At 34.4% G+C, this 27769-nt stretch overlaps 1 annotated feature.

Annotated features, from left to right (window-relative positions):
* Window positions 22646-22846: a silencer, noted in NCBI's record as "peak5173 fragment used in MPRA reporter construct". NCBI's record gives its function as "represses an SCP1 promoter by STARR-seq MPRAs in K562 erythroleukemia cells {active_cell/tissue: K562}" and the evidence as "EXISTENCE:reporter gene assay evidence [ECO:0000049][PMID:32103011]".

Raw genomic sequence — 27769 nt, forward strand, 5'->3', positions numbered from 1 at the left:
AATAACATAGACTCTAGACTAAGGTTAACACCTAGAAAAAAATCAATGAAAGACAATCTTAAGCAGATATATATATATACACACACACACACTATATATATACTATATACTATATACGTATATATATATACACGCAGTGTGTGTACATATATATATATATATCAGTGTTAGGTGAAATAGAATTTACAAAGAAATTAAACAGGTTTTGTAACTAAAATGAATATATTATATAAAATTAAAATGTAACTAAGTAGAATTCATTTCTATATTACATATATTTGATACTTATCAAAAGATGGATTAAATTGTAAATTCACTCTGGATATAGGATCAGTTTTTTTTTTTGAGGTTCTTTTTTTATTATACTTCAAGTTTTAGGGTACATGTGCACAATGTGCAGGTTTGTTACATATATATACTGGCACATATACATCAAGGATCTGTTTTTTTTTTTTTAATGACAAGAACGTTATCTCTAACCATTAATTTTGCATTTAAATTTAAAAGCATTTTAATCATAAGTTCTATTTTCATATTTAAATAATCTTATTCTTTTATTGTTAGGCTTTGTTTTGTACATTATTTCTTTAATTGTAGGAAAAATAGTCACAGGTTTTATTTTTTTTTGCTAATATTTGAATTAACTTTCTTGCCATAATTTACAATTTGAAGGTTCAATCAGATTTATTTCTAAGGAAAGTATCTAACCAAAATAGCTCTCTTATATTATATGGTTTAATTAACCATTTTATTAGGCTTTTGAAGCAAATAAAATGTGTAAGATAGCTTTCTTAGAATACTAGAGTGTATATTGAATAAGATAACTGAGTTTGTAATCAAAATAGATAGTTTCTTGAATCTTCTGAACCACTCTGAAAAAGTTGGCAAGTGGGCAGATAATCCATGTAATTTTTTAACAATAATTAAATACATAGCATTTATATATACTTTTTTATTTTAATTAGAATATTAGAAGATGTAAAATGTTATACTGACTATTTCTTTAACTATCTGAAAAAACTGAATGTAGACTGATTTTCAGACAGGATCCAACCAAGGTTAATCCATTTGCTCTTCCCTACAGTAATTTATCCAAACTTTCACTGTGGTGTGTAAAGAGACACTGTCTCTTCAAATACTTTGAAGACTTCTTGCCAACAGGCCCACATATGAAAGTAACTAAGTAAAACTTAGTCAAGCAACATTAGAGAAAAACAAAAGACAAATACTGCTAAGTACTAACTGACTCCTAAGGGAGTGTTTGCAGTTCACACTACATTTGAAATATTTGTTTTATCCAAAAAAAGGCTGGGGGAGAAAAAGTTGTGTGTGTGTGTGTGTGTGTGTATTACACTGATAAACACTGTGTGATTATCACTGTATACTGTATATATATACATGTATATATATACATATATATGACAAATAACTGTTCTGATTAACTGTTCTGAGTGTGTGTATATATATAGTGTGTATATATATATAGCATGTGTATATATATATATATAACTGTTCTGAAATTAATTTCTTTTTTTAAAAATATATGTGCAAAGTCAAGTTTATTGACATTCTACTTTCATCACTGAAGGAATTATGGAAGTGATAACTAATTACAAAAATTTTAAAATCTAATCCATCACAAGAATTTTAAAAGAAATATAACATTTTTAAAGAAATATGATCCCAGAATACATAGCAAAAAAAAAAAGCAAACACTTTTGTATTTAGTTTTCCTATTGACAGCACATGTATGCATTTTTTAGATTGTATGTTTGTCCTAGAATGACAAACTTTTTGAGAAGATGAACTGGGTCTTATTCAATTGTGTTTCTTTCACAAAGCCCTGAGGAATGCTTTGACAATGGCAGACACTCGACAAGGTAAGTGTTGAGTGAGTAAATAAACTGCCAACCATTCTAAGAGAGAAAAGACAATTAAATTACAGTTGTGCAAACGAAAAATGTTGACATTTTTATTTTCAACTTAAATTATGTTTTCTTGTAGCTTTTCTGCTGTGCCCTTACTCTCTTCTCTATTGCTCAGATGGAAGCCCACATTCTTGATTTCTGTATTCATAAAATAGATTTAATATCCACATATGGTTGAGAAAAAAATAGAATACTTATCTTTCCTTTTTTATTATTTTTGCCACCTTTTTTAGCCTAAGAAAGCCTACAGACATGGTCTTTTGTATATTTGCTATGTATGAGAGATCCTTCCTAGGCATAAAGAAAAAGGGAGAAAGATTCCCCCTCTATTCCCAGTAGATTTTAAGCAGAAAAAGAAGAGAAATAAAATACAACAGGAGCCAAGCTTCTGTTTTTGTTGTTATTTTCTCTATTTAGGTGGAAGAATGTTCTAGAATAGGAGACATTTTGGAGCCATCAGATATGAAGGGAAAGGGACTGAGAATATCACGAATAGGTGAATATAGTCCCATAGAATCCCCATGAAGAGGGTGTGAGAACTTAGCAAAAACTCATGTGCCCAATAATAAATTGTTTTTTTGGTTTAATACCTATACCCAGTGTCCATCAGCCTTGGGCTAAAGTATAGCAGCATGATTGGCCTGTGTCGAAATAGTGAGTTTGTTGCTCTCCTGGCTCAATTTCAGTGTAGAGGAGAAGCAAAGTTTTGGCTAGAAAACTGCAATGAGATGTGTAAATACTGAGTCCCTGTTTCTGGGGAAAAATTGCGAGTGAGAAGAAAGAAGACTGTATGGGTAAGGACTCCAAGATCTGAGGGGATGTGCCACAGTCACAGAGCAACAGTGAGCAGAAGTTCGACATTCCAAGAGATCTATACTCTGAGAATAAGTGAAAAGAGAAAAATCATAATCACTTGCCACATTTCTAAATGCTTAGCTGTTGTTTATTCATCACCAGAGACCAAGATAATCAAGAACATACACTTTGCCTCTGAAGACCCTTTGTTCTCCTTGTCACACCAAGATCATATAAGCCATATTCGTCTCTTATATATGTACACACTATCTTATGTAAGGCAATATGAATGGAGAAGGAATGGGTTGGCCAAGCAAACACTTTTCAAAATGACTATTGGTGATTTGTACTAAATTTATACTTTTCCCCTCTGCTAGCCTGTTGATGGGAGTTGTGAGACTGGATTAATTATAAAGAATGAACTATGTGTTTTTTCCACATGTGAACATTCTTTGAATGAGTCATTTAACCATACCTCACTAATTAGTCAAATAATCAGCTTATTTTTGATGGACTATTATGAGATAGAAGTTTACTAATATAATAATGCAAACTTATCCAACATGCTTCATAGATTAACATTATAGATAATTGGAAAACTGTATTATCAAATTATTATTGTTATCAAAGTAGTGGCATATACTTACCAATGGAATCTATAAAGATAAATGAGAAAACTCTTGTTAACACAATTAAGACTAAAAATCAGGAACATAAAAGCACATTTACATCTGGTAATTGGATGACTTAATTAGAAGACCAAAGAAAGGAAACCAACTTGAGTGGATTGGGTCAAACGTCTCATTCAAAGGATGAAACTGCTCAGGTTAATGGAAGTTTAAAGTCTGTATGCTTTAACCAATTTACCATTTATTTACTGAAAATTAATGAATATTTTTCTTCTATATTTATAATTTCAACATGAAAAGTGCTTTATTTCTGAAATACTGGATATATAAAAATTGAACCTTTAGCTTTAATCTTTATGATATGTAAGTGATAATTCTTATTTTTATAGTAATCCTTGCCTAACAATAGTCCAATATTTTAGCAAATACATACATATAAATCATTAGTGTTGTAGTTTAATAGCTATATCTAATATGCAAAAAATTACTTTGAAATAGTTTTAAGACTAGTAGAAACTGATTTCTAGAAAAAAAATGGAAAGAGCTAAGCTTTCTTTTTTAACATTCTCTTTAAAATTATAAGCAATATGTTATGTTTTGTATTCCTCACAAGCCTTTTGAAAAGTATATGCAGTAATAGTTTAATTTAGGGTGCCAATCTCTTTTATTAGATTTATGCCTATGATGAAAGGTAGCTGAAATGTTTAAATCTAGTGTTACCTAAATGACCAAATAGCAAATATTAAGATTCTTGCTTTTTGTTGGGTTACTTTTATAAACTATGTATTTACATTTTAAAAAATAGAAAATTATTCCACTTTAGAGTCTTCTTAATACCAGTGTCTTAGCTTTCTGATTAAGCCAATTGTAGCAACTGGGAAAGATTTTAAAGATAAATTATATGGGGAGGAGCCAAGATGGCCGAATAGGAACAGCTCCGGTCTACAGCTCCCAGCGTGAGCGACGCAGAAGACGGGTGATTTCTGCATTTCCATCTGAGGTACCGGGTTCATCTCACTAGGGAGTGCCAGACAGTGGGCGCAGGTCAGTGGGTGCGCGCACCGTGTACGAGCCGAAGCAGGGCGAGGCATTGTCTCACCTGGGAAGCGCAAGGGGTCAGGGAGTTCCCTTTCCGAGTCAAAGAAAGGGGTGACGGACGCACCTGGAAAATCGGGTCACTCCCACCCGAATATTGCGCTTTTCAGACCGGCTTAAAAAACGGCGCACCACGAGACTATATCCCACACCTGGCTCGGAGGGTCCTACGCCCACGGAATCTCGCTGATTGCTAGCACAGCAGTCTGAGATCAAACTGCAAGGCGGCAGCGAGGCTGGGGGAGGGGCGTCCGCCATTGCCCAGGCTTGCTTAGGTAAACAAAGCAGCCAGGAAGCTCGAACTGGGTGGAGCCCACCACAGCTCAAGGAGGCCTGCCTGCCTCTGTAGGCTCCACCTCTGGGGGCAGGGCACAGACAAACAAAAAGACAGCAGTAACCTCTGCAGACTTAAATGTCCCTGTCTGACAGCTTTGAAGAGAGCAGTGGTTCTCCCAGCACGCAGCTGGAGATATGAGAACGGGCAGACTGCCTCCTCAAGTGGGTCCCTGACCGCCGAGCAGCCTAACTGGGAGGCACCCCCCAGCAGGGGCACACTGACACCTCACACGGCAGGGTATTCCAACAGACCTGCAGCTGAGGGTGCTGTCTGTTAGAAGGAAAACTAACAAACAGAAAGGACATCCACACCGAAAACCCATCTGTACATCACCATCATCAAAGACCAAAAGTAGATAAAACCACAAAGATGGGGAAAAAACAGAACAGTAAAACTGGAAACTCTAAAACGCAGAGCGCCTCTCCTCCTCCAAAGGAACGCAGTTCCTCACCAGCAAAGGAACAAAGCTGGATGGAGAATGACTTTGACGAGCTGAGAGAAGAAGGCTTCAGACGATCAAATTACTCTGAGCTACGGGAGGACATTCAAACCAAAGGCAAAGAGGTTGAAAACTTTGAAAAAAATTTAGAAGAATGTATAACTAGAATAACCAATACAGAGAAGTGCTTAAAGGAGCTGATGGAGCTGAAAACCAAGGCTCGAGAACTACTTGAAGAATGCAGAAGCCTCAGGAGCCGATGCAATCAACTGGAAGAAAGGGTATCAGCAATGGAAGATGAAATGAATGAAATGAAGCGAGAAGGGAAGGTTAGAGAAAAAAGAATAAAAAGAAATGAGCAAAGCCTCCAAGATATATGGGACTATGTGGAAAGACCAAATCTACGTCTGATTGGTGTACCTGAAAGTGATGCGGAGAATGGAACCAAGTTGGAAAACACTCTACAGGATATTATCCAGGAGAACTTCCCCAATCTAGCAAGGCAGGCCAACGTTCAGATTCAGGAAATACAGAGAACGCCACAAAGATACTCCTCGAGAAGAGCAACTCCAAGACACATAATTGTCAGATTCACCAAAGTTGAAATGAAGGAAAAAATGTTAAGGGCAGCCAGAGAGAAAGGTCGGGTTACCCGCAAAGGGAAGCCCATCAGACTAACAGCGGATCTCTCGGCAAAAACCCTACAAGCCAGCAGAGAGTGGAGGCCAATATTCAACATTCTTAAAGAAAAGAATTTTCAACCCAGAATTTCATATCCAGCCAAACTAAGCTTCATAAGTGAAGGAGAAATAAAATACTTTACAGACAAGCAAATGCTGAGAGATTTTTGTCACCACGAGGCCTGCCCTAAAAGAGCTCCTGAAGGAAGCGCTAAACATGGAAAGGAACAACCGGTACCAGCCACTGCAAAATCATGCCAAAATGTAAAGACCATCGAGACTAGGAAGAAACTGCATCAACTAACGAGCAAAATCACCAGCTAACATCATAATGACAGGATCAAATTCACACATAACAATACTAACTTTAAATGTAAATGGACTAAATGCTCCAATTAAAAGACACAGACTGGCAAGTTGGATAAAGAGTCAAGACCCATCAGTATGCTGTATTCAGGAAACCCATCTCACGTGCAGAGACACACATAGGCTCAAAATAAAAGGATGGAGGAAGATCTACCAAGCAAATGGAAAACAAAAAAAGGCAGGGGTTGCAATCCTAGTCTCTGATAAAACAGACTTTAAACCAACAAAGATCAAAAGAGACAAAGAAGGCCATTACTTAATGGTAAAGGGATCAATTCAACAAGAGGAGCTAACTATCCTAAATATATATGCACCCAATACAGGAGCACCCAGACTCATAAAGCAAGTCCTGAGTGACCTACAAAGAGACTTAGACTCCCACACATTAATAATGGGAGACTTTAACACCCCACTGTCAACATTAGACAGATCAACGAGACAGAAAGTCAACAAGGATACCCAGGAATTGAACTCAGCTCTGTACCAAGCGGACCTAATAGACATCTACAGAACTCTCCACCCCAAATCAACAGAATATACATTTTTTTCAGCACCACACCACACCTATTCCAAAATTGACCACATAGTTGGAAGTAAAGCTCTCCTCAGCAAATGTAAAAGAACTGAAATTATAACAAACTATCTCTCAGACCACAGTGCAATCAAACTAGAACTCAGGATTAAGAATCTCACTCAAAGCCGCTCAACTACATGGAAACTGAACAACCTGCTCCTGAATGACTACTGGGTACATAACGAAATGAAGGCAGAAATAAAGATGTTCTTTGAAACCAACGAGAACAAAGACACAACATACCAGAATCTCTGGGACGCATTCAAAGCAGTGTGTAGAGGGAAATTTATAGCACTAAATGCCCACAAGAGAAAGCAGGAAAGATCCAAAATTGACACCCTAACATCACAATTAAAAGAACTAGAAAAGCAAGAGCAAACACATTCAAAAGCTAGCAGAAGGCAAGAAATAACTAAAATGAGAGCAGAACTGAAGGAAATAGAGACACAAAAAAACCTTCAAAAAATCAATGAATCCAGGAGCTGGTTTTTTGAAAGGATCAACAAAATTGATAGACCGCTAGCAAGACTAATAAAGAAAAAAAGAGAGAAGAATCAAATAGACACAATAAAAAATGATAAAGGGGATATCACCACTGATCCCACAGAAATACAAACTACCCTCAGAGAATACTACAAACACCTCTACGCAAATAAACTAGAAAATCTAGAAGAAATGGATACATTCCTCGACACATACACTCTCCCAAGACTAAACCAGGAAGAAGTTGAATCTCTGAATAGACCAATAACAGGAGCTGAAATTGGGGCAATAATCAATAGTTTGCCAACCAAAAAGAGTCCAGGACCAGATGGATTCACAGCCTAATTCTACCAGAGGTACAAGGAGGAACTGGTACCATTCCTTCTGAAACTATTCCAATCAATAGAAAAAGAGGGAATCCTCCCTAACTCATTTTATGAGGCCAGCATCATTCTGATACCAAAGCCGGGCAGAGACACAACCAAAACAGAGAATTTTAGACCAATATCCTTGATGAACATTGATGCAAAAATCCTCAATAAAATACTGGCAAACCGAATCCAGCAGCACATCAAAAAGCTTATCCACCATGATCAAGTGGGCTTCATCCCTGGGATGCAAGGCTGGTTCAATATACGCAAATCAATAAATGTAATCCAGCATATAAACAGAGCCAAAGACAAAAACCACATGATTATCTCAATAGATGCAGAAAAAGCCTTTGACAAAATTCAACAACCCTTCATGCTAAAAACTCTCAATAAATTAGGTATTGATGGGACGTATTTCAAAATAATAAGAGCTATCTACGACAAACCCACAGCCAATATCATACTGAATGGGCAAAAACTGGAAGCATTCCCTTTGAAAACTGGCACAAGACAGGGATGCCCTCTCTCACCGCTCCTATTCAACATAGTGTTGGAAGTTCTGGCCAGGGCAATCAGGCAGGAGAAGGAAATAAAGGGTATTCAATTAGGAAAAGAGGAAGTCAAATTGTCCCTGTTTGCAGACGACATGATTGTTTATCTAGAAAACCCCATCGTCTCAGCCCAAAATCTCCTTAAGCTGATAAGCAACTTCAGCAAAGTCTCAGGATACAAAATCAATGTACAAAAATCACAAGCATTCTTATACACCAACAACAGACAAACAGAGAGCCAAATCATGACTGAACTCCCATTCACAATTGCTTCAAAGAGAATAAAATACCTAGGAATCCAACTTACAAGGGATGTGAAGCACCTCTTCAAGGAGAACTACAAACCACTGCTCAAGGAAATAAAAGAGGATACAAACAAATGGAAGAACATTCCATGCTCATGGGTAGGAAGAATCAATATCGTGAAAATGGCCATACTGCCCAAGGTAATTTACAGATTCAATGCCATCCCCATCAAGCTACCAATGACTTTCTTCACAGAATTGGAAAAAACTACTTTAAAGTTCATATGGAACCAAAAAAGAGCCCGCATCGCCAAGTCAATCCTAAGCCAAAAGAACAAAGCTGGAGGCATCACACTACCTGACTTCAAACTATACTACAAGGCTACAGTAACCAAAACAGCATGGTACTGGTACCAAAACAGAGATATAGATCAATGGAACAGAACAGAGCCCTCAGAAATAACGCCGCATACCTACAACTATCTGATCTTTGACAAACCTGAGAAAAACAAGCAATGGGGAAAGGATTCCCTATTTAATAAATGGTGCTGGGAAAATTGGCTAGCCATATGTAGAAAGCTGAAACTGGATCCCTTCCTTACACCTTATACAAAAATCAATTCAAGATGGATTAAAGATTTAAACGTTAGACCTAAAACCATAAAAACCCTAGAAGAGAACCTAGGCATTACCATTCAGGACATAGGCATGGGCAAGGACTTCATGTCCAAAACACCAAAAGCAATGGCAACAAAAGCCAAAATTGACAAATGGGATCTAATTAAACTAAAGAGCTTCTGCACAGCAAAAGAAACTACCATCAGAGTGAACAGGCAACCTACAAAATGGGAGAAAATTTTTGCAACCTACTCATCTGACAAAGGGCTAATATCCAGAATCTACGATGAACTCAAACAAATTTACAAGAAAAAAACAAACAACCCCATCAAAAAGTGGGCGAAGGACATGAACAGACACTTCTCAAAAGAAGACATTCATGCAGCCAAAAAACACATGAAAAAATGCTCATCATCACTGGCCATCAGAGAAATGCAAATCAAAACCACTATGAGATATCATCTCACACCAGTTAGAATGGCAATCATTAAAAAGTCAGGAAACAACAGGTGCTGGAGAGGATGTGGAGAAATAGGAACACTTTTACACTGTTGGTGGGACTGTTAACGAGTTCAACCATTGTGGAAGTCAGTGTGGCGATTCCTCAGGGATCTAGAACTAGAAATACCATTTGACCCAGCCATCTCATTACTGGGTATATACCCAAATGAGTATAAATCATGCTGCTATAAAGACACATGCACACGTATGTTTATTGCGGCATTATTCACAATAGCAAAGACTTGGAACCAACCCAAATGTCCAACAATGATAGACTGGATTAAGAAAATGTGGCACATATACACCATGGAATACTATGCAGCCATAGAAAATGATGAGTTCATGTCCTTTGTAGGGACATGGATGAAATTGGAAATCATCATTCTCAGTAAACTATCACAAGAACAAAAAATCAAACACCGCATATTCTCACTCATAGGTGGGAATTGAACAATGAGATCACATGGACACATGAAGGGGAATATCACACTCTGGGGACTGTGGTGGGGTGGGGGGAGCGGGGAGGGATAGCATTGGGAGATATACCTAAGGCTAGATGACGAGTTAGTGGGTGCAGCGCACCAGCATGGCACATGTATACATATGTAACTAACCTGCACAATGTGCACATGTACCCTAAAACTTAAAGTATAATAAAAAAAAAAAAGATAAATTATATGATTGTATTATCGTCCAGCTCACTAAATACATACAAACTCAGTTTCACATCTTGGGAAAAAACTTTTTTAAATAATCTTTTGAGTAGCAAATAGTAAATTATCATTAATGTACCTTTCAATCATTTGAATTAAGATTTATTGAACTAGAATTTAATTGACATATAGTATATTTTGGCCCTAAAAAGGGAAACTGAACTCAAGTGCTGAATCACTCCATGTCCTAGATCAACAGCTAACGTAACAGTACAGAAAAACACTTACATACTTAAAAAGACAAAAAGAAGAAGAGGGTAAAAGCAAATGAAAACATTTAAATGTAAATACAAATATTTATCAGACTGAAAGATCATGAAAGTAAATCAGCAAGATGAAGGAAGTCACGACATAAAATACATGTAGATGGGGATTATACAAGAAATTCAGGCCTCTAGAAGCCTGGAAAGGCTCAAAACTCAACAGGCCTGGGAAAGGTGAGGTTGGAGATGTTCCATAATGACTAAGTAGTCAAAAGACACAATATATTTTAAAAGTATTTTATTCTGATTATCATGTTGGTCTTGGCCTGGTATATTGTTTGAAGCTAGTTTGTCATGGTCAAAATTGAAATATTTCCTTTTTCTTCTGGTGGGGTTTTAAAATATTTTGAAAGGCCAGCTGTTTCCATATTAATAAAATAATTACACATGGCAAATTATATCAGTAATGATGTCCACTGAACAAGCCCAACATGCCATTTAGAATAAAGTAACTTTCAGATTGCTTATTTCTGGAGTAGAGAAAAGTTAATTGCTAGGAATCTTTCTATTTTAAACCAATTTGCAAATTATGGAAAACTTAAAATAAATGCAATTGATGGTTCCTTTAAAGAGCAAGATAATTTTCTAGAAATTAGTTTTCTTATGTTAAAATCTTGACACCTGTAAGTTACAACATATACAATGGCTTAAATAAATGTAATGTATGCCATGTTGCTCAGAAATGTTAAAACACATTGTCAAAATATACTTTATTATTTTCATAACTATTAAGTAAATTGAATCTGATGCAAATAAAATGTTATGGGAATTTTTGCTGTGAGAATTTTTCTTGATTTATTTTTTAATTTAAGCATCTTTTTGTTTTCTTTTATTCTATTATCTAAAAGAGTTTAATAAATACATATTTCAGCAGGCATACCCAGTAGAAAATCATATTTTTCATGCATAATAACATTAGCTATCCTAAAATATTTAGAGTAATTTTTACCATCTTAATAAAAATAATTCTCAAAAATCCCAGCCAATCTCTGCATGATATATAGTGGTAAGTAAAATGGACCTTTTTTTTAAGCTTGAATATATCTAGAAAGTAAAATATTCTGTTCCACAGTCAGTCTCTTTAAACTTAATCCCAATTTTATTTAAAATGCATTTAGAATTTCAGACGTCTGCTATATTATATCTGGAGAGTCATCAGTGTATTCTTCACATAGGAAAATCGTGCCTTTTTTTCTCACATTCAGTTGTCTCAAGATACAACTGCAAAGTAAACAGTTTCAGATATTGCGTGTTAACTTTTCCAAACTATCCTCCTCACCCGTGTTGTACTAATTGGGTTGTTTCCATCCATTTTAAGAGACACCAAGAAGAGGGCTATGTATCTACACCCAATATTTCAAGAAAATGAAAGATGGTGCTTTTATATCATTCACTTTTCCAAGATTTTTAAAAAATACCACTTGAAAGTCACTCTAGTGGGCACTAGAAGTGATCCACAGTTACATGTGATACAATGTCATACTATTGACTGTAAGTATGATTTAAATTAACCTAATGAATATTTAATTTCACCCACAACCTCTCTCACTTTCTTATATTTTAAAAAGCAAAGTGACATATTCAAAGAATGGAATAAATATGTTTATATTAATAAATAAATTTTAAGGTTTTTACAATGTTATTTCTAATGATTTCTTCCTGTTCTTGGAAAGTATACAATCAATTTATGGTGGAATTGAAAATAAAATGTTTTTGAATAAAATTATTGTGAAGAAGATAACTTCAGTTTCCAATTAGTGAAATAAGCCATTTTTGGTTAATAAAGCAAGTTCCATGAATTTCAGTTTTTGTATTTGTACTAAAAATTTAAAAGCATAAAAACCCAAGAGTGAATCTTGGAATAAAAATATATTAGCAATGGTTGCAGAGAACTTGATCCCATACCAATTGGAAGCAGGAGCCCAGTTTTAAAAGTCACATGAATTTGAATGAATAATGAGTAGTTGCTGACAGATCTCATATTCCCTTGCCAAAGTTGCAGCTGAGAAATGCTTTCAATGTGTTTCAAAAGCAGTTCAACTATCTTTTGTTTTGGTGTAGGTTAAATATTTTTTCTCTTTTGTTATCTTTATCCATTTCTATTTTTCCTGTTTCCCTTGTGTTTTCAGAAAATGTTAATAATATTTTCCTAACTTACTGCATCTAGACTGTATCATTGAAGGAATCTTTTTAGCTTACATTGTGAAATCTACAGATTAAAGGTTGAAATAAAATCATTTGTTAATCAAAGTATGTAACAACACCATATGAGGCTTTATGAATAATACTAATAACAAACTTGCTTCTATTAAACTATGTAAAATAAGATTATATATAACATATAATTTATAAAATAGTAATAGTACTTTTTTCATATTATGAATAAAATGCCAATAAAACGTTTTCACTGGACAAATAACTTATGCTGAATTTCAAGACACCAAAAAGAAAAATGAATATATATTCATGAATATTTGCATAACTACATAAATTGGTGATTGTAGCAATCAGATTCCTGGCAAAAAAAAAAGAGCAACAGAGCTTAAATGATAATATAAGACATTTTTTCTTCATTAGAGGTATTTATATGCTTGATCAGATTACTAAAAATCAGATTTATATAAGTGATATAGAAATATAGGCAGGACTAAGTGGGCTAACAAAGGGTTTTGAGATATTCATTGATAGTTATAACAGATAGCCATTAGTTTACCTTAGGCCTGACAAAGCAATAAATGTATAAGGTAACCAGAATTTGGAAGGACCTGTTGCTCTGGGTCTTCTGGCTATAGTTGGAGGAACATCATTACTATGAATACAGTGGCATGGTGGGGTAATGGATGCATGGGAAATTAATACCCTGTGCTCCCTGATTCTCATTCTTCATTCTCCTCTCAGTGTCTCCCATTGACCAATCCAATTAGAAACTATACACAGGTATCTGGGTAATTCCGTCTATAGAAGTCAATCAACTAGAGCATTGGGTATTGATCAAAATGGTCAAGGGTAGAGTAAAGAACTAGGTAAATAGAGATTATTTAACACAATATTGATTTTCAAAATTCACATAGAGAAGACTGGTTTCTTTTGAAAGATACCAAGTAAGTTTAGACTTTCTCTCAATAACTTTCATATTATCATATATTTTGGAGGATTGAAAATTAGCTAACAATCTCAGAAATTTGTCTTAATGTGTCCATCAAGAAAGTAAATCTGTTAGAGTTAATTCTCATAAAAAATTATTTTACATCAAAATATTGTGACAGAATCAGGATCTCCAAAGTTATTCACAGACGTAAGAAGCAGGCTGAATTTGAAAGGTGAAATGTAACAGATATAAATTCTGTTGGCTAGATTGAAAAACCTACTGGTTCAAAGCACAGTATGATGCTCAGCAGAAGTAAAGGTAAAACATTCTTAGGAAGTTCTGCCTGTGGTCAGTCAGCAACTCGGGAATTAACAGAAGTCGTGACTGTTTGATATGGAAATCAAATCTAGAGTTAGAGGTGATGCCTTAGGATATGGTGCTCTTCTCTATTTTGGATTCATAATGATATACTGAGTATCCGCTGTCAAGATAATTTAGTTATTGGTAGTTTTACATGATTAATTCTTCCAAGTGTTAGTTTCATAAATCTTAAACACGATGAAATAAACTTTAAAGTAATAAATCACCTCATTCCAGAAGGATCTAGTGAACGAATACCATAAATCATTCACTATACCACAGAAAATAAATATGAAGATAAATATTTACAGCCAATGCCTTTAGGTAAAAAGTGCAAAACTAATGACTAACACATGCTGAGAATCTACTTTCTATCAGAAATCTCTTTAGCATTTTCGCATATTACATAATTATTATAGCTAATCTACTAAGTACATACTGCATCCCCATATCACAGATGAGGAAACTGGCACAGAGGGAAAGTAACTTGATCAAGGTCACAGAGCTAATGGCAAAGCCAGAATTTGAATGAGGCCATCTGGTTTCGGAGCCTTTGTTTTAGCTATTATTTTACACATTTTCTTCCTCAGAGATACTTATATGCTTGATGAGATTGCTAAAAATCAGACTTTTTTTTGGTTTGTCGGACCAGACATACTTCCCAGAAGATTAGAAATTGGACGTGCTTTTGAAACATGAATTAGGTTCTCCTTAGTATCATCCTGACCCTTCCATAATTCCTCCCCTCAGAATGTTAGTGAGACTTCAGTCCTCCAGCTGATCCAAAGTCAGGTCATGAACTATGAATTCGAAATCAACAATCTCAGATCTGTGTATCCAGTCCAGAGTTAGCTGCTGAGCTCTCATTTAGGAGGCTCAAAACTTCACATTTTGATTCGCAAAAGTTCCTCATTTTTAATATGTTTAGAACCGAAATATTGCAAACATTCCCTTCAGAATCAGTGGGGCCTACAAATAATGGTTGCTTTTTCTTTGTGGTAGGAGAGTCAAAGTAGAAAGTATAGCATCGGGTTTTTTACTTTGGCTTGACACTGCAAAAATGTCACCAATTTGTTAGCAGACTTATTAATTTTCTTGGGGTATATCTCCATTATGTGTCATGTACTTGCCTAACCAATACACCTAAAGTGGATCATATATTTTGTTTATTAGGACACTTAAGCAAGATGTCACTAATCTGTGATAAAAAACAGATCTGTGATATCCTGGAAAGACAATCAATATCTCTCCTTGCTTAAAAAATAGTAATATAAACTTAAGTCACAGAGCAAAGGAGTACTGTGACCTGTCTTCATGTATATGTACACGCATACATAAATTTGTGATTGTAGCATTTGCTTCCTGTGTTCTCTGTTTATTGATATATAGGAAGCCCATTTGTCAGATTAAGTTGCACATCAAGTACGAGAAATTGCATTAATTTGCCTCAGTAAAGAGATATTCTAAAGCAGAAATCCTCTAAAGCAATACTATTGCAAGGCTTCAGATCACTTCAGTTGAGAAATGATGGCCCTTAGATTGTCATTTTCTTCCCTTCAGCTATCCATTGCTTTCACACTTTCCAATGTTTTCCATGCCCTTGAGACATATGTGCTGTGTAGAACTGGTTGACATTGATTCCATAAGACTGACCTTTAATGAAAACTTTATTTCAGGTGACATTTATTAATTGCTGGAAAAATACATAGCAAGGGCTGCTGGATTTCCATGTTCTCCTCTTGCCCCAGTACTGATTTATCTCATATAATTCTGAATAGGTCACAATTCTTACTTGAATATGATTATAACTCATTAATTTAAACAGAAATGAAATTTATTGGCAGAGAACTCAATTGCTCCAAACATGGAAAAGGTTGCTGAAAATCAAGCTCAGTAAGAATTAAATAAAAATCAAGAGAGCCACAGAACTTCCATAATTATCCACCTCAGAGCACTGCTGCTATCTGACAGGACGCTCACGGCCTTGTCCACTGTAGCCACTATGTCTGGACTGCTGCCACTGTCCTGCTGGATTCCATTTCACTGGCACACTTGGTACTGTGTTATTAGACACTCCACTCTGTCGATTCTGCTATCAAAAATCTCTAAATGTCATTGCGCTTTTGCTTCATTTATTCAAGATTCAAAGTCGTTAGTGGTGGGAGAGAGGGAAGGCACATGGCTGTTGAGCTCAGTAAACATGTTGCCAAAAGGAAGGGATTATCCAGCCTTCTTCAGCTTCCATAGCAGATGGCTTGGTTGGCTTCTGCCTATCTTGAGATTTCTCCCAAATCAAAAGGGTAGCCAAAACAGGAAAAATGTTCAATGAACGTATTAAACAAAATGGTAAAAATAAATGAGGTAAAAAATAGAAGAAAAAAAGAAAATTAGAGATAGCTCAAATCTTTAGATCAACTAGTGTCAATATTTTAGTGTTCTTTATGAATTTATTTTAATTTTAATGTGACAGTTACTCAACTTTGCTCTCTTTAAAGGCATGTTGTACACACATTTCACAAGCTTTAAGTAAAAGTTATATTTTTATTAAATTTGATTAATAATTTTTTTATTTAATAGGTGGCCTTAATAACCAAATAGAAGGAAACCTATATCCCTGCCTATAGAATCTAAGGAGGTCTTTGTGCAACCAACAGTATACATATAATAAAAGACAAAGTAAAAATAAAGTAATAATAGTAGATAATTAGAGTCCTTACTTCATGCCTGGTAAGAGCAGAATGTCACATGCATTGTGCTGGTGATTATCTCTAGGACTACGCAAGTTGTGTCATTGCAATTTAGCCAATCTAAGTACATAAACTCACACAAGCTTACATAGTTAGAAACTGGTAGATAAGAACCAATCCTAGTCTTTCAGAAATAAGGCATTGCCCTCCTATAGCTATGTATGTGGGTATTTGATGACAACATTGTCTAAACAATTAATTCCCCATGGTTAGTGTGAAATCTCATGAGAAATAAGAAAATTAATGTTATCACTAGTGCTGTATTCATATTCCTTATTTTTAGGGAGACTCAAATGAATGTGAAAATAAAACTAAATACAATGGTACACTGCCTTTAAATATATTGAATACGAACGTTTACTTTTAAAGAAATATAATAATACTTATTCTTTTCTATGTTATTATTTTTATGTCTAACAGCAAAGATAAGTTAATGAAAAAGTATAAATACAGATAAATATTTTAAATATTGGAACTGTCATGATAAGATTTGTAAATTTAACTGAAAAAAAGCTTATCAACTTGGCCTTTACTTTCTCTGATTTTGCTTCATATAATAGACTTCACCTGAAACAGAGGTACAATTGTGCACAACATGAAAAATTGAGGTGCATATTAGGTGTTTAGAGTGTTTTTTCCATACACAGAAGGTCAGTAAAAGGGAGAATTAGCACCTAAATATTTTTATAGTGTAATTGTTAAAAATGTTCGATAAAAATGCAAATCAAACTTGTTTTTCGTAAATATGTAAATCACAATATTAGTGCAACCATCACATTAGCCTAACATATTTTTTTAATTTTTAATTTTTATGGGCACACAGTAGGTGTATGTATTTATAGTTCACATGAAATTTTTTGACACAAGAATGAAATGCATAATAATCACATCAGGATAAATGTGGTATACATCACCTCAAGCATTTATCCTTTGTGTTAAGAACAAACCAATAGCAGAAAGAATTTTGATTCAACATGAACATAATAATTTAGAAAATGACCAAAATCAACCAGAAACTCAAAAAACTTTAAGCTAAAACATTCATCTGGTTTTTTAAAAATGGCTTATAATTATGCAGAATTCACTGAGTACTTTTTATTCATTTAGTAAAGAAAACATTTTTGAGTGCTTATTTTCTGTGTGAAACTAATTTGGATGCTGGAGATAATGTTATAACATTCAAAGACAGTCCCTGACTTTAGAGAGCTTACATCCTCTAGATGAAGAAATAAAACTACCAAGTAAGCAGACACAAATGAGTTAATTTCATATTGTGAGAAATACAAGGACATAAAACTGAGTGTGGGGAAGAGGATGACAAGGGAATATACGATGAGAAGCAGCCAGTCATGAGGAAATTTAGAGTCAATGCATTCCATGATGGGCAAATGTCAATGTATTTATATATGGACTCTCTATGTATTTTCCAAATATCTACTACAATAATGAATGGTGCATATGGTAATTGCTCTTAAATTAAAAGAGAAAAAAATTTATATACATAATATGTATTTTTTTCTTCTTCACCTCATCCTCTTCCTTGGATTATACATCCAAATGCTTAATCAATCAACCACAAACTCAATCAACTCCCTCTCTGTATACATATATGTATGTATACATGTGGTGGATACCACAATTAACCATTATATGATTATTATGTGTCACATGTCTGTATCAAAATATTTCATGTATCCCATTAATATATACACCTACTATGTACCTGCAAAAATTAAAAATTAAAATAATTATGTTATGCTAATGTGAGGATTGTGCTAATATTATGATATATATGCATATATATACACATCTACACACATACATGTATATGTACATATGCCTATGCATGCATGTATAGACATGTGTACATGTACATTTATAAACGTAGATACATATATGTATTTGGATTTATTTTCACAAACACACGAGCTCTGGATATACACAATGTTCTCTAGTAACAAGATGTTCCATGAAGTAGTAACTCTGTGGAATACATTGTCTAGATCAATGCCTGGCATAAGCCTCAGTAACCAGATGAAGTCACAGGCCTTTTATAAAAAGCTCTCTCTTAATTATGGCAAATGGGATGTTTACTTCTACTAAAACCTCTCTTGAACCCCCCTTCTTATGTAACATCTCTGTGAAAGATAACATTCAGTTTCAGGACATAGAAAAAGAAAACGTGTCTGTCTTCTCAACACACTCTGCTAGAAAATGCACATGGCTTTTTATTCAGAAAGGTTACTCCACTCAGAAGTTTCTCATCCTGTAGAAAATAATATATTGTGTTCAAATCCTTCATTTATAAATATGTGCACTCTTTTTACTTGTTTAATATTTTACTGTAGACACATGATAGAAATATAAAAGCTAATTATACAAAATGAAGAACTTGATCCATTTTAAGCCACAGGTAATTATAAAAAGAAAAACAAAGATTTTAAAGGTCAGGGAAACAGCCATCTGCTTAACAACCTGACCATCTGTGAAAGATAATTCAAGGCCAGTTCAAAACTCAGAGGGCCCTAAGTGTCACCCAGAAAGATGCCTTATATGTTATTCTGTACCTAAACTCAAGGTATAAGGCACAGATTGTATGAGTATTATTATCACCCATTTTTATTTATAAAGCAATTTAGATTTGCCTTGTTAATTACAGACGGTGCCCACTTTTTCATAATTAAAGTACTATGAAGAGACATTAAAGTTAAATGAAAAAATCATAATAATATGCACATTTATTATAATTAAAAATAATGCTCTATGTTTGATATTTTTGATAAAACTAGATATTTACAAAAGTATACGTTTCATTTATATCAACTATTATCTTTTTTAATTTAAAAATATATTAGTATAAAATATTTAAAAAATGCATACATAAGTAAAATTGAGTTTGTCTGCCAGCCATATAATAAAATATACGTCTCCTATTCATTCTCTCTCAGTACAATTCTTCAGACACAATAAATGTATAAACTTCAAAATACAATATAAATATAAATGTGCATGTGTTTGTGTCTGTTTGTGTGGCTGGTATTTTGAGTGGCTAAATTTAAAATTACACAGTATTTTGAAACATCATGGAGATTTCCTAATAAAATATTAGGCACATTCTTCCATTGTACATCTTTGTTATTATACCTTTTACTGATGTTTAATTAAAAAATACTTTTCCTTCAGGTTAACTTATTCTCAGCATTTGTAACTTTTTCTTTTATCTTCTGCAAGTATGCTTTTCTTCCATTGTTTAGCCTAGTTATCTTTTTAAAATTTTATAGAATATGTATTATTCAGTTGAGGGTGAATTATTCTCATAACAAATCAAATTAATGATTATTTTATAATTGCTGTTAGTTCCTTGGTCAGTCTTAGATTTCAAACAATAAAAGTGCACCATCTGAAAGTGTCCTTCAGTAACAAATATTAAGCTCCATGTCTGCACAGAATGGAGTTCTAGCCATTGAGGATACAGAAGTGAACAAGAGATGGGTTTCTCCTTCTCATGGAACTAGCATCTTAAAGGGATAACTTAAGAAAGCAATGAGGCTGGGGGCAGTATCTCACGCCTGTAATCCCAACACTTTTTGGGAGGCCAAGGTGGGCAGATCACCTGAGGTCAGGAGTTCGAGTCCAGCCTGGCCAACAAGGTGAAACCACGTTTTTACTAAAAATACAAAAATTAGCCAGGTGTCGTGGTGGAGGCCTGTAATCCCAGCTACACGGGAGGCTGAGGCATGAGAATTGCTTGAACTCGGGAGGCAGAGGTTGCAGTGAGCCGAGATCATGCCACTATACTCCAGCCTGGGTGACAGAAGGAGACTGTCTTAAAAAAAAAAAAAAAAAGCAATAAATAAATGTTCTGTGGTTAAATAGGAAAAATCAGCACTTTAAAATTATTGTAATCCAAAATTAAATCTTGGATTATAGGTATCTATTTTCTGATCTCTTCTATTGTTTTCTCAATTAAGCATAGGCACATGTATCAGTAGTTTCTTCAAAACCAATTTTGTTATGTCTTCTTTAAGAAATCTTTCAAGACTTCAAGGTATAAAAAATTTCAATTATATTTTCTAATCAGCGTCTTCAAGGTGGTTTATTTGTTGTTGTTATCATTGTTGGAGTTTTTAACTCTAAGATATTAGCCCCTGTGTAGTTGGTCTTTTTACATACATACATACATACATACATACATACATAGCCCATTTTTGAGTAGAGTCCATCTTTTTAATGTCATTTTTTTCCAGCTCCATTTCTTTCAACTGCCCCTTCTTTCATAACTGACCTGAGAAGCAACCTCTGTCATCTACCAAAATTACCTGTTTATGGATTCTCTATTCTACTCCATCGATTAATCCTGAGTCAATATCACAGTATCAACATTAACATTGCTTCATAGTAAGTCCCAGTATCATGAACAGCAAGTTGCCCCTCTTAATCCTTTCGAAAAATGACCTGACTATAGTCAATACTTTAAATATTTGAGAATTTTTTAAATTCTCAATTATTTTAATTTGAGAATTTAATTTTAAATTGAGAATTTAAAATTCTCAAAAATTTTAAATTAAGATCCATAAATTAAGATCCAAAACCTACTGCATTGATTATATTTAAATTTGGGGCCAATTCTCAGCTTCTTATTATTTATTCTTACTATTCACGACATCGGATATGTCTGTCTTTAGTTGCATCTGTTATAATAAATTGCAATAAAGCTTTATTTTTTTCTGGAAGAAGTCTCAAATCTGTTTTACAGCTTAACAAGTGAAATGGGATAACAAGAAAAATGTAGCTTTGAAGTTGTAATTTTATTATGTGTTGATTAAACTTTGGTTATGCTGAATTTTTGAAACTAAATGTTCATATGGCAGATGGATATCCTTAAGTAGGCAACTTAAATGCACTATTTTATTTTCACTAGGTTTTTTTTAATCGTAAGCATAAACAGGTTTATCCATTTTCTCTGACACCTACTTCTATGCATACCAGAAAATCTAGAAATATTGATTTATTACTAACTCATCAATTTATCTGTAGATTTATTTGATAATTCATTTATTAAGTAGTAATTTACTATGAAAATACTATGTATTTACAAAAATTAGCCAGGCGTGATGGCATGCGCCTGTAGCCCAAGCTACTGGGGAGGCTGAGGCTGAAGAATCACTTGAACCTGGGAGGCAGAGGTTGCAGTGAGCCGAGATTGCACTGTTGCACTCCAGCCTGGATGACAGAGTGAGACTCTGTCTCAAAAAAAAAGGTACTATTATTTAATATTATCATAAACATTTATGTAATAAATAATAATGGCAAGACCAGATTGTAATACTGAAATTTGTTTTAATTTTCTTGCTCTTAAAGTATATTCTGATTATACTAATTATTTAATGTTTTTTTTAAAAAGTAACTCTATGTATAAGCTCATTTAAATGAGTAAAAGTCAAATTTGATGGTAAAATATTTCACCTCTATTCCATGAAGAATATAGTGTGTGTGTGTGTGTGTGTGTGTGTGTGGGTGGGTGTGTGATTTAAATATACAAATATATAAAAGGAGAAAACGAAGAACAAAGCAGCTTTCTTAATGAAAAGGTATTAAGAAAATAAAAGTCAATTTCCAGTTGACTGTTTGGAATTAAGGAGTTTTTTTTGGGAGAAGGTTATTTTAAGAAAAAATAAAAATCAGATGTATTTGGGAATGCATAGGGTGCATTTATTTATTTTTACACTACTATAAAAGCTTTATGATTTTGATGAACAAATATAGAAGCATTTTATAAATGACAGTCTCAAGGCTCTTAGAAAAAAAAAAAAAGCAAGCACATATATCAGCTGACAAAGCATGTTTATGACCTAGAAATGACACTGTCACCAGTGATTAAGACCTACAAGTAAGACCAGTTCGTGCCTGTAATTTGAAATTGCTTAGCATCAGATACCTTTTATGTGTGTAAAATAGCCAGAAAAGTAATTGGTTCTACTTATAGCAAAAGCAAGTTCAGCATTTTGAGTATTTTTTTCTTTCCCTAACTGATGTACATTTTATCTCCACTCAGCTGAGGCAAATGAAAAAAAAAAAAGAAAAAAAAAGAGGTTTGACTCAGCATTTGTACTCAGATTCATTAGTGAACTGAAGAAGGGAAAATCTAAACCCTTTTCCCCTACTCCCTATTTAAAAATTCAAATGATATCAAACAGAAATATTCCCAAAAGTATGTTGAAGTAAACAGAAAAAGAAAGTACTTTTTATTAAGGTAAATTCTTCCTATCATTAATGCAGTGGTTTATAAGGAGATATTCGACTTCTCTTAGGATTTAAGTAATGTTTGGGGAAATTTTTAATCACCTAGGGAGCATTTTAGAAAATACTATTCCGAAGACATGCACCCAGAGATGATGTTTTAATTGATCTCTTAAGAAGACTTAGAAATAGCATTGCATTTCTAAAAGCTGCCAGTGCCTTTCTCATGTGTACTAAGGATGAAAACCACTGTTCTAATATATTCCCCACTGCTCTCACTCAACTTTGGAAGTCATTAATTTCTTTAGACCACTAGGGTATTAGAGTCAGCTATAGATTATCTAAACCTACACGCCTAATCTCTGATGATGAATAGGTAAAAAGGTATTTGTCTTTGGATTTTGAATATGAGATCCATATTCAAACACAGACCTGCTAAGGGGCAACAGTGTAAAAGCAATTATATGATCTATCTGACTTGCACTCCACAGTTAGCCCTTCTGTCAACAGTTTATGAAACACATGTTGATGACAAAGAGGGGGAAGCCATAAGTCATTTATAAAACTATTATCAGGGTAAAACCTCCTAAGCATCCTTTCCACCTGTTGACTTCCACTTTCCTTCTCATTCTGGAAAATTAAAGACTGTGGGACAAAAATCGTAACTCTACCTTGACGCAGAGATGTAGTTGCTGCCTTTGTTTTCTCTATCTTATTCAAACACAGTTGGCTACAGATGAAGTGTTTGAATGACTTCAACTTCTGAGGATTGCAAAAGTAGAAATAGTATCCACAGCCTATGCTAATAAATGACTTTAAAAATATGATGGGAGAGAAGACAAATTTTTATTTTAAAAATATGATAAAAGCTTAGAAAACAGAGTAGAATATCTTCCTCTAAACATATGCAAATAATTATAATAGCTCACATTTCTTGAATGTTTTTGTGCTGGTACTTGTGATGGACATTTATTGCTTGCCTTCCCAGAACCCATCATTAATATACAAATATAGTACAGATAATACACATACACATATTTACGGAGCTTTCTCCTTTCTCTCCTACCTTGTTGTTTCATTAGGGACTAATTGTCTTGATACTACAATGCTCTGGCCACAAGGGGAGGATCAGATGCAAGCCAGTATACTCAAAATTCTTTTCTGTGGATTAAAAGCAAACAGAGGTGCATATTAGCAGCCCATCACTTTATTCCAGACATTGCTAATTCCTAGGTATGTTCTTGCCTGTTTTGCAAGTGTCTTTACCAGATATAAAATTTCCACTATTGGCTTACGCCAATTGGAGCTGTGATTCTATTTGCAACACAATTTTTTTCAATGCTGTACTATAAATGCATCGTGACATTTAATACTGTATTTGGAAGTATGATGTAGAGAATTTAAAAAAAAAAGGATCATGGCATTATAACTTACTAGTTGTAAGAATTTTAGGCAAGGTAATTCATTACTTTTAAGCCTATATATCTTCATGTCTAAAATAGAGAATATGTAACAACTTTCCTCATCATGTTATTGTATTAGATGGAATTCTGTGCATAATGCAGGCAGTCAGGTACATAAAAACTAATACAAACATTAATATTATTGTTCACAGATATTTTAGTTCAGTAATGTATTTTCAGTTTTACATATAAATAAACAACCTCAGAAAGGTTAAAATAACTTGTCTAATTTTGTAATAATATATAAGTGATTAGAAATTGAAACTTTACTTGCATAGCACAAACTCAAAATCTGCACTGTTTTTTTATAATTTGAAATAAAGCATGAATGCAAACACACAGACATCAAAACATAAAGTAACAAGTCATAAATAGAGTTATTTACATAAATAAGTGTATATTAACACTTCCTGAATGCAGAGTGAATACACTCACGTAATCTCTGCCCATATAAAAAATGAAATATTTGTAGCATCCCAAAATAGCCCTCATATGGGCCCTGTCAAAAAATTCTCCATTCTGGTGACCACCATGTTTAAATGTGCCTGTTTCTTATTTTTGTATGAATGAAATTAAATAATATTTACTGTGGTACATCAGGGTCTTTAATAAGAGCTTTCCATGCGAAATGTAGGATTAGTGTGGTCATCTAAATTGCTATTTGGTGTTACATTGTATGGGCATTGTGTATCTATTCCAAAAATCTATCTATCCATTCTATTTGTGAGAATAACTTTTTTTTTCCATTTTGAGGATATTGCAAATAGTGCTTTTATGAATATCCCTATACATATCTGTTGGCGTGTGTTTGTATGCATTGCTATCATATGTATATCTGGAGTGGAATTTCTGACACATAGGTTGTGCATATGCTCATTGCAATGGAGTTGTTGCAATATTTACTTTCTCCTCCAATAATGCCTGTTGGTTACAATTGCCCTTTCTCCTCATCAGCACTTGGAATTGTCAGTCCTCTCCCCACACCCTCTCCCCACCTCCCCACCCTCATCTACCACATGAGCATGCTCTGGCGATTGAGGAGTGACATATCGCATTGAGTTTTATTTTAAAATCTGATATGTTTGCTAACATTTTCACTATTTTTGTTTTGTGAAGTGCGATTTTAAGTCTCTTAGGCATTTACCTTTATATTTTCAATCTTATATTTTTTTATTTTTAATCTTTTCCCATAATGTCTTCTTCTCCCCTTCCGTGGCTTATTTCTTGTTTCTTTTTGTTTGTTTGTTTTTTTCCTCTTAATAGTGCCATTTTATGATGTTTTAAATTTTAATATAATTCAAATTATCAGTCATTTTGGTGTCATATTTAGGAAACCTCTGCCAGTCTTATGATCATAAAATGAACATTATCTTTAAATATCTAAAATTTTTGGTTTTATATTTTGACCATGGTCTATTTGACTTATTGCTATTTGCTTGAATGTGTGGTGTGGGTTCAAGAATCACATTCTACCTATGGATATACAATTAACCCAGAAACATTTATTGATGAGACTATCCTTTCCCATTATTGTACAATGCCAATTTTTAATAAATCAAGAGACTATGTTAGTATAGGTCTCTTATTGAACTGTTTACACTGATATATTGATCTTTTTATTTATTCTTATGTCAATTACAGCCTCCTGATTACTGTTGATTTATAACAAATATTGATATATAGCAGTGTATATCATCCAGTATTGTTCTTACTTAAAGACCACCCTATGATATTATACTGTAACTTATGACCAATACTCCTCCACCAGTATGTGAACGTCTGGGTGAAGGTATTCAATAGATACTGATTGAATTGATATAATTTAATTACCAGAACAAAAGACCTTCCGTATCAGTAAATTTCTACCTGTGGCTTCCACCAATAAGTCATCAACCTCTGAAGCACTAGCTGAAACCAAAAAAAGCTACTATATTTGTTCTTTAAAAGGCAGTGTTAGCAAAATTAATTTTTCTTATCAACTGATATATCTGGAATTTAATTTTTGAAAAGTGAACAAAATATTTTTAATTACTGTAATTAGTTTACTATTCAGAATATGACTCAGGAATACCCAAATGGAAGAGTTGCATGAGGTAAGGTAAGGTGAAAGAATCACAGAGCTTACATGACCTCCCAAGGCATACCACCCTCTTAGCACCTTAATATGGTCACCAACTTGAGAAGCTGCAGAAAACTTTAATTTTGTCCTTCGGTTCCTCACTTAACCTGCCAGAATGTGGTATCTAAAATGAAAATTTCACAGAAGGAGAGACAATACCTAGTTCACTGCTATATCAACTATATGTACAGCAGAGTGGAACCTATAATAGATGTTCTATACATATTTGTTTCTAATGAATACATATATAATTGTATATATATTATCAATTAGCTATTTCAGTGTGTAGGAACTTGTCAAACAAAAATGCAAGCAAAAGCTTCTGATTTATTCTACATATGTACTGGTGTTACTTAATGATAAGCATCCCCAGGTTTTTTATTTGTTTGGTTTTGTCTTTGTATTTTCAAGATGGCCAACTGGGGCCATGGCATGCCAGTTCTCTTCAGAAAGAAGATAAAAATTACCTTTCACTGGAAAACATTGAACAGAAAATGGAGAGAAGAGAGCCAGGACCTGTAGGAGCACCCATAAGAAGAAGCTGGGATACCACAGAAAAATGAAACAGCCAGAGCCTTGCTGAGATTGATGCCAGAGGAACTTAGAGCCCAGTGGAAATGGTAGGTGGAAGTGCTTCTCTGCTCCCTTCAACCCTCTGACAATATGCCTCCTGCTAAATTTTTGGTGAGTCCCTTTGCCCTCATGAAACAGGGCAACACTATTGATGGTAATTAGAGGATTTCTGAGGAGCAGAGAACCAAATAGCTAATTTGCTCAGCCATGCCCATTCTTCCCTCAGACCCAAATTGACAGCAAGCAGCATACCAACTGTGCATTCATGGTGTCATTGTCCTGCCTGGGAATCCTCCACCCTTGAGCACCAGTGAACCTCCAGATCCGCAAACGTACCTCACAAAGGGCACTGACTTTGGCAGGCACAGGGGACCTGCAGTTCCCCAGAGAGCTGTGGGTCTCTTGGAGATCTAGCCCTTGGCACAAGCCACCTGTAAGGGAGGGAAAGTTCAGCCACCAAAGTCTCCCTTGGACAAAGGAAACACAGGTGTGTAGCCAATCATTGAAGTGGTCAGCACCAATACCTGGGAGTGAATGTAGCCGGGGGATCATCTCCCACCCCTCCATGTCCATTATACATTGTTTCAAGTG

Source organism: Homo sapiens, chromosome 5 (genome assembly GCF_000001405.40).
Source record: "Homo sapiens chromosome 5, GRCh38.p14 Primary Assembly".
In the NCBI taxonomy this organism is placed as follows: domain Eukaryota; kingdom Metazoa; phylum Chordata; class Mammalia; order Primates; family Hominidae; genus Homo; species Homo sapiens.